The sequence below is a fragment of the Homo sapiens genome, chromosome 7, assembly GCF_000001405.40.
Source record: "Homo sapiens chromosome 7, GRCh38.p14 Primary Assembly".
NCBI classification, from domain to species: Eukaryota; Metazoa; Chordata; class Mammalia; order Primates; family Hominidae; genus Homo; species Homo sapiens.
In genome coordinates, this window is record NC_000007.14 from 105,554,493 (window position 1) to 105,563,976 (window position 9,484).

General features: G+C 39.8%; 1 protein-coding gene across 10 annotated transcripts in view; it reads left to right on the forward strand.

The window, feature by feature from the left end:
* Nucleotides 1–9,484, forward strand: part of RINT1 (RAD50 interactor 1) — a 35,477-nt gene that overhangs the window by 22,292 nt on the left and 3,701 nt on the right. For 9 of the 10 annotated variants that reach the window (NM_021930.6, NM_001346600.2, NM_001346601.2 and 6 more), the window contains 2 exons: nt 536–735; nt 9,241–9,455. In NM_021930.6, coding sequence (NP_068749.3) covers nt 536–735; nt 9,241–9,455 — 415 coding nt within the window. The remainder of the gene's footprint in view (nt 1–535; nt 736–9,240; nt 9,456–9,484) is intronic. The other variant, NR_144478.2, reaches the window with a different exon arrangement.

Genomic DNA, 9,484 nt, shown 5'->3' on the forward strand with positions numbered 1-9,484 from the left:
CAGTGGTGCCATGTTGGCTCACTGCAACCTCCACCTCCCGGGTTCAAGCAATTCTCCTGCCTCAGACTCCCAAGTAGCTGGGATTACAGGCACACGCCACTACTGCCCGGCTAATTTTTGTAGTTTTGGTAGAGATGAGGTGTCACCATGTTGGCCAGGCTAGTCTTGAACTCCTGACCTCAGTTGATCCACCTGCCTTGGCCTCACAAAGTGCTGGGATTACAGGCGTGAGCCACCACGACTGGCCAAAACTGTCATTTTTATGTATAATTTTTTCATTTGCCTTTTTGAAAACTTGAGGTATAGTTTACATACAGTGTAATGTGCAGATCTTATTTGTATTGTTCAATGAGTTTTGGCAAATGTATATACTTTTGAAACTCACATCCTTAAGAGAGCTCAGAAATAAATCCATTCTTGACTACTGGTCAATTGATTTTTGACAAAAGCACTGAAGCAGGACAGTAGGGAAAACTTATAACTATATCATAGATGGTACCAAAACCTTCATATGTCTTAATAACTTTTTCCACAGACAGGTATAAAAATCTTCCCACAGCTTCCCGAAAGCTTCAGTTCCTGGAGTTACAGAAGGACTTAGTAGATGATTTTAGGATACGATTAACACAAGTGATGAAAGAAGAGACTAGAGCTTCCCTTGGCTTTCGATACTGTGCAATTCTTAATGCTGTGAACTACATCTCAACAGTACTAGCAGATTGGGCTGACAATGTTGTGAGTTAATATGCTTTTATATTAAGTAATATATACTAGTTCGAACTATTTTATTAATACTTTTCAAAATGTTGAATCTATTGCAAGCAAAAATAAACATGCTAGACAGAACCATAGTGCCATAATTAAAAGGTGTAATTAAAATACACATTTTTCTCAATCAAATCTCAAGTAGTTAAATAGTCCTGATATTTTAATGTATTTAATCATTGGAAAGGCAAGCAAGCCTTTCATGAAATAGTTGTTTATAGAGTGAACCATACTTGGAAATATTCATGTATGGTAATTGCAATCACAGGAAGAGCTAAGATTAAATAATGATGTCAAAAGCAATCCAGGACTTTAAGGAAAATAAAAGAATAATGTTTAATACCTCTTGAATGTCTTCAAAACATGACAGATTATAAAGAGTCATGAAAATAGGAAGAAACATTTAAAGTTTTAATTGTTTCATACATTAAAAATCTATTTGGCTGGGTGCAGTGGCTCATGCTCTTAATCCCAGCACTTTAGGAGGCTGAGATGGGAGAATTGCTTGAGCCCAGGAGTTGGAGACCAACCTGGGCAACATAGGGAGACCCCATTTCTCCAAAGAATAAAAAATAAAATAAAATTAGCCAGGTGTGGTGGCATATGCCTGTAGTCCGAGCTACTTGGGAGGCTGAGGTGGGAGGATCACTGGAGCCCAGAAATTCATGACCAGCTGTGCAACATAGTGAGACCCTGTCTCTACAAAAAATAAAAATAAGAAACTAACATTTCATGTATCAAATTTTCAAATATATGCAAGAGTAAATAGAATAGGAAAATGAACTTCTGTGGCGTGGCTATCACTCAACTTCTTTTTTTTTTTTTTGTGACAGAGTTTCGCTCTTGTTGCCCGGGCTGGAGTGCAATGGTGCGATCTCGGCTCACTGCAACCTCTGTCTCCTGGGTTCAAGGGATTATCCTGCCTCAGCCTCCTGAGTAGCTGGGATTACAGGCACCCGCCACCATGCCTGGCTAATTTTTTTTTTAGTAGTAGAGACGAGTTTTCACCTTATTGGCCAGGCTGGTCTCAAACTCCTGACCTCAGGTGATCCACCTGCTTCTGCCTCCCAAAGTGCTGGGATTATAGGTGTGAGCCACCATGCCCAGCTCACTCAACTTCTTACACCAATTTTGTTTTATTTAAACCTCTTTTCTGCCCCCCAATACTTGATTATTTTGAAGCAGATCTCAGATATCATATTTCATGGTAATATTTATATAGAGAGATATATATTAGTATTTATCTCTAAAAGGTAAGAACTCTTTTAAAAAAAAACAGCACTATGATTGTATCTGAAAAAATTAACTGATTTATTGGAAGGTATATTTTAAATAAATCTATAAATAAAAACCTTGGGTCCAGTTAACAAATACCATAAGGCCTTTTCCCTCCAGATTCTACTGACCCTTGCCTTCTCCATGCAGATTCTGACAAGATTTGATCTGCCTAATTAAGTTAACCTACTGACAGACTTGATATGCCTAAGTATAATTATTAAGTAGTAATTTATTTTTACTGTTTTTATTAATTCAAGGAATATCCTGGCTATCAGGACTCTTTGGCAACCAGATTTTCCAATAGATGCTTCCAAACAAAAGTCTAATTAGCCTTTATAACCTTGACATAGACAGATGAATTCTTTTAGATGTTTTAGATATTAACATAATCTCAGAGGACCTTCAGAACTCCCTTCTTGAACAGGGTGCCCTTAGGTTAAGAATCACTGTTCTGAGATCATCTGTGAGAATACAAAATCAACTTAGGTTTATACCAACTTGGGTGTCCCATAAAGTACATTTCATGACAGAACGCATAAACAGAGAACTAGGATGACTATGAAATGGTAAAATAGAATAGACATTAAATATTAAAGAAACTAACTATACGGAATAAATCTGATAATGACTATGAAAATTTTAATATGAATTATTAATATAAAATATATAATTGTGTCATAAAATGAAAACAGAAAGGTAAACAAGACAAATGCAATTTTAACTAAAGACTTAAATATACTATTAGAATGTGATAGGTAAAGTGAGAATTAAAAAATTGTAAACTTAAACAATTAGATTGATTAACTGAAGATTAGTGATACATTCCATAGTATAACAGGGAAAAACACAATTTTCAAGTGTGTCCAGATGAGTCACAAAGATGGACAAGATAAATTAATTTAAAATATCTGTACATTATCTTAATGCAATAAAACAGGAAATAAAAGCGGAAATGAAATATATTCAAACATGGACATGTAAAAACATTAAATGCCTGGATTAGGAAGGAAGTCTAGAAAGCATTAAATTTTAAATTATGAGTTTAGGAATAAAAATTGTAGTATACAAATTAATACACTATATAGTACATTTTGTTATATGTAGAACAAAAATTTATGGTTACTTCTAAAGCATTGTATAGCAGAAAATGTATTCCTCATAATACCTATTTTAATGTGAAAGAAAAAGCCAAACAAAAACCATTTTTATTTAAATTTTAAATAAGCCAAATAAATAGGGGGCAAAAATAAATATAATAAATATACTCATCATAGATATAAACAAGATAAAAATCTGATAAACACAATCATCATAGTTTATGCTTATCTGTACTCTGTCTGGGACTTAGTAATTAGTTAAAGTTTTTTTCCTATAAAAATAACTGAAATCCATGTGCATAATGTCATTCTGCTGAGCAAGGAAAATAAAACAATTATTTCATAATATGATTATAAGATAGAGGGTAATGATCAGTTTGTTTATAAAGTCAGCTAATCAGTCTGGGTGTGGTGGCTCATGCCTGTAATCCCAACACTTTGGGAGGCCAAGGTGTGTGGATCACCTGAGGTCAGGAGTTCGAGACCAGCCTGGCCAACATGGTGAAACCCTGTCTTTACTAAAAATAAAAAAAATGCCTGTAATCCCAGCTACTCAGGAGGCTGAGGCAGAAGAATCGCTTGAACCCAGGAGGCAGAGGTTGCAGTGAGCTGAGAATACGCCATTGCACTCCAGCCTGGGCAGCAAGAGCAAAACAGTCTCAAAAAAAAAAAAAAAATAAAGTCAGCTAATTAGCATACATGCATTCATTTTGTACTTTTATGTGTTGTGTTTCTAATTTAAGTAAGTATTCTCTCAGCACCCCCACAGCTCCATATTCTGCTAAGCGTTTTTAGTAATATGAAACAAATTGTTATTCTTGATTCTTGTGCCAGAATTTTTTCTTCAATGAAATTATTTGTAGAACATCATCAACTGCTTTACTTGGTGCTATAGTCTGTTTAAGAAAGATGGCTGGGCACGATGTCTCACACCTGTAATCCCAACTCTGGGAAGCCAAGGTGGGCTGATCACTTAAGCCCAGGAGTTCGAGACCAGTCTGGGCAACATGGTGAGACCTCATCTCTACAAAAAATACAAAAAATTAGCTGAGCATGGTGGCGTACCCCTGTAGTCCTAGCTGCTTGGGAGGCTAAGGTGGGTGGATCACTTGAGCTCAGGAGTTGGAGACCAGCCTGGGCAGCATAGGGAGACCCTGTCTCTACATAAAATAAAATAAATTAACTGGGCATGGCAGGCATGCTCTGTGGTCCCAGCTACTTGGAGGCTGAGGTGGGAAGATTGCTTGAGCCCGGGAGGTTGAGACTGCAGTGAGCCTTCATCACACTACTGCACTCCAGCCTGGGCAACTCCCCCCGCCAAAAAAAGAAAGATGAATTAGCCATCATCCCTACCCTTAGAAAACGTATAATCTCATGCTGAATTAACTAGGTTCTCTGTCAGCAGAGAAATAAATTTCAGAGTTGATTGTTCAAATTGTGAATGAATTGTGTCCTAGCATGGTTATGATGGTGCAAATCTGGCCGGGTGTGGTGGCTCACGCCTGTAATCCCAGCACTTTGGGAGGCCAAGGTGGGTGGATCACCTGACGTCAGGAGTTTGAGACCAGCCTGGCCAACATGGTGGAATCCCGTCTTTACTAAAAATACAAAAAATTAGCCAGGCGTGGCTGGGCACGGTAGTTGTCGCCTATAATCCCAGCACTTTTGGAGGCCGAGGCAGGCGGATCACCTGAGGTCAGGAGTTCGAGACCAGCCTGGCCAAGATGGTGAAACCCCATCTCTACTAAAAATACAAAAACTAGCCAGGCATGGTGGTGGGCGCCTGTAGTCCCAGCTACTCAGGAGGCTGAGACAGGAGAATTGCATGAACCTGGGAGGTGGAGGTTGCAGTGAGCTGAGATTGTGCCACTGCACTCCAGCTTGGGTGAGAGAGCAAGACTCTGTCTCAAAAAAAAAAAAAAAAAAAAAAAAAAAAGAAAAAGCCAGGTGTGGTGGCGGACGCCTATAATCCCAGCTACTCAGGAGGCTGAGGCAGGAGAATAGCTTGAACCGGGAGGCAGAGGTTGCAGTGAGCCAAAATTGCGCCGTTGCGCTCCAGCCTGGATGACAAGAGCAAAACTCTGTCTCAAAAAATAAAAAACAATAACTATATAGTGCAAGTTCTGTCTTAACCTCAAACATTCTTTAATCATATTCACAGTCCTTCAGCCAGTGAATACTGTATAAGTAAAAATTATTAAAGCTCTTGTATTGCATAATTAGAAAAAGGAAAAAGAATGGACAGAATTCACTTTCCATTTGTTTCAGGTTCTCTACTGATAACTGTCTGCCAGTTGCCAGATTGTGCCAAGCCTGAAATAAGCAGCCATTCAGAATTAGGAATTTTTCAGTTGTAGGTGACAGATATGAAATTCAAACTGGCCTAAGTTGGGATGTGGGGTGAGATATGGGAGGTGAGGATTTTAACTTTCTAAAAGGATTAGGCATGGCTGTTCTAAAGTTGTCAATTTCTGGTTTTGTTCTGAGGCAGGCTCTGGACGTGTGGCCACAGGTGGTTCCAGGCTCACATGGTCCTTCTGCAATCTCAAAAGAAGAGTGCTGCTTCTCTGATAGTTTCAGCAGAAATACCAAGGTGCCTCTCATATGTCCATCTCTGAACAATTACTAGTGCAGCCAGGGCATGGTATTACCAAGTTATGTGTGCATCCCTGGCACCAAAGGATAGGGCTGACACCACCTAAGTTGTCTCAGATTGGGGAAGTGTTTCCCCAAAGGAAAATTGGGGTACTGTTAAAAGGGGAAAAGTTGCCATGTAAAAGTAGTTGATGCCCATGACACATTGCCATGCAAAAAGATATGGGGCGGGGGCACGGGAGGAGAGAGGGAGATGGGGAGAGACAAAGAGAGATGATTTAGGTTCATGTTGGGTAGTCAGAATTTTAATAGTAAATGTATAAAAAAATTAACCACCAGATTTTATGGTTTGTTCGTTATCCATGAAATCTTTGGGAGAATTCTCAATGGCTTTTGGTTTTTAAAATTTTAATTAGTTTTATTTCAAGAACTTTAAAAGAAAAGCAACTGAAAATTCTTAAGAAACCATTTCAAGGGTAGCCAAATGTTTTTTATTTTGGTTTTTTTTTTGAGACAAGAGTCTCACTTTGTCACCCAGGCTGGATTGCAGTGGTGTGATCTTGGCTCACGGCAACTTCTGCCTCCCAGGTTCAAGTTATTCTCCTGCCTCAGCTTCCTGAGTAGCTGGGATTACAGGTGTGCGCCACCATGCCCGACTAACTTTTCTATTTTTAGTAGAGATGGGGTTTCACCATGTTGGTCAGGCTGATCTCGAACCTCAGACCTCAAGTGATCCGCCGCCCCGGGCTCCCAAAGTGCTGGGTTTACAGGCGTAAGCCACCGTGCCAGGCCATCAAGGGAAGCCAAATGTTTGATGACCTTAATAATGGCTTATGATGTGTTCACGGCCTAATGCTATTCAGAGTTTTAGAGAAAAAAAAAAAAAAACCTTGGCAAGGTGATTTATTTAGTCCTCTGTTAATTTTGGAAAAATAAAATTTCAGACCTTTATAATCTTATGCTTAAATGCTTGTTGATAGTGTCGTTTAAAAAATATTTTTAATTTTATTTAGAACAACGCCAGGCATGGTGGCTCACACCTGTAATCTCAGCACTTTGGGAAGCCAAAGCGAGTGGATCACCTGAGGTCAGGAGTTCAAGATCAGCCTGGCCAACATGGTGATACCCCATCTCTACTAAAAATACAAAAATTAGCCAGGTATGGTGGTGCTCGCCTGTAGTCCCAGCTACTCGGGAGGCTGACACAGGAGAATCGCCTGAACCAGGGAGGGGAGATTGCAGTAAGCCGAGATTGCTCCATTTCATTCCAGCCTGAGGGACAGAGTGAGACTCTTGTCTCAAAAAATAAAAAAAACAAGTAGATAGTGTCATTTTTTTGTTGTCATTTTTTGAGACGGGGTTTCACTCTTGTCGCCCAGGCTAGGGTGCAGTGGCACGATCTCGGCTTACTGCAAACTCTGCCTCCTGGGTTCAAGCAATTCTTCTGCCTCAGCCTCCCGAGTAGCTGGGATTACAGGCACCTGCCACCATGCCCAGGTAATTTTTGTATTTTTAGTAGAGATGGCATTTCACTATGTTGGCCAGGCTGGTCTCAAACTCCTGACCTCAGGTGATCCACCTGCGTCAGCCTCCCAAAGTGCTGAGATTACAGGCATGAGCCACCACGCCTGGCCGATAGTGTCATTTTTTTTAAGTTCATGATTACCGTACACAGAAGTTGAAAGAGAAAAATATTTTTCACTATATGTAATCCATGTGATACAAAATTCAAAAGCCACAAAACTGTATATATTGAAAATATATATATAGTGAAAATAAGTCTTAATTCTAATCTTCCCTAAAGCCAATCACTTTGATCAATTTCTTGTATATACTACTAAAGCTATTTATATAAATACTGGTGTGTGTATGTCAACGTGTGGTAACATACTATGCAAACTCTTCTGCTTTTTCCGGTTAACAATATATCTTGAGATTGTTCCATTTCAGAATAGTTTAACATTGACTAGTGGGAATGTAACATGGTACAGTTGCTGTGGAAAACAGTATGGCAGTTCCGCAAACTGTTTTTTTGTTTTCTGAGATGAGATCTCGTTCTTTCACCCAGGCTGCAGTGCAGTGGCACAATCTTGGCTCACTGCAACCTCTGCCTCCTGGGCTCCAGCAGTCTTCCCATCTCAGCCTCCTGAGTAGCTGGGAGGTCTGTGGCCACCACACTCAGCTAATTTTTAATTTTTTTCTAGAGATAAGGTCTCACTATAAAATGATTCTCTGGCCTCAGCCTCTTAAAGTGCTGGCACTATAGGCATGAGCTACCATGCCTAGCCTTTCAAACTGTTAAAACATAGACTTACCATAAGATCCAGCAATTCCACTCTTCAGTACATACCAAGAGAAATGAAACATATGTCCACATAAAAACTTGTACTGCCAGGCTTGGTGACTCACGCCTGTAATCCCAGAACTTTGGGAGGCTGAGGTGGGCGGATCATGAGGTCAGGAGTTTGAGACCAGTCTGACCAACATGGTGAAACACCATCTCTACGAAAGTTACAAAAAAAAAAATTAGCCAGGTGTGCTGGCACACGCCCGTAATCCCAGGTACTTAGGAGACTGAGGCAGGAGAATCGCTTGAACCCGGGAGGCGGAGACTGCAGTCAGCCAAGATCACCCCACTGCACTCCAGCCTGGGTGACAGAGCGAGATTCCGTCTCAAAACAAAAAACAAAAAAACAAAACAAAAAAAACTTGTACAAAAATGTTCACAGCAGCATTTGTTCATAATAGACAAAGTAGAAGCTACCCAAATGTCCACCAGCTGATGAATGGATAAATAAAATGTGGTCTATCTATATAATGGAATATTACCTGGCAATGTAAAAAAAATGAAGTGCTGATACGTGTTACAATATGATACGTGTTACAATATGGATAGACCTTGAAAATGTACTGAAAGAAGACAGTCACAACCAACCATACGTTGTATGATTTCATTTATATGAAATGTCCAGAACAGGCAAATCCATTGAGACAGAAAGTCAATTAGTGGTTGCCTATGAGTTGAGGGAGTGGGGAGACGGTATTAGAGGATAACGGCTTTTTTCTTGGTGATGAAAATGTTCTAAAATTGTGATGGATATACAACTGAATATATAAAAAAATCATTGAATTATACACTATTATTAGTTTTGAGATGGAGTCTCACTTTGTCGCCCAGGCTGGAGTGCAGAGGCATGATCTCGGCTCACTGCAACTTCCACCTTCCAGGTTCAAGCTAGGATTACAGGCACATGCCACCACACCCGGCTTATTTTTGTATTTTTAGTAGAGTTGGAGTTTCACCATGTTGGCCAGGATGGTTTCGAACTCCTGACCTCAGGTGATCCACCCACCTCAGCCTCCCAAAGTGCTGGGATTACAGGCATGAGCCACCGTGCCCGGTCGAATTATACACTTTAAATGGGTGAATTGTATGACATATGAATTCTATTTCAAACTGTTAAAAAAAAAGTATGCTAATGTGTTAACATGTTTTTGCTTTCAGTTCTTTCTACAACTTCAACAGGCTGCACTGGAGGTGTTTGCAGAGAATAATACTCTGAGTAAATTGCAGCTAGGACAGCTAGCCTCTATGGAGAGCTCTGTCTTTGATGACATGATTAACCTCTTAGAACGTTTAAAGCATGATATGTTGACCCGTCAAGTAGACCACGTTTTTAGAGAAGTTAAAGATGCTGCAAAATTGTATAAAAAAGAAAGGTATGTCCTCTATGTAAGTCAGCTCTTAA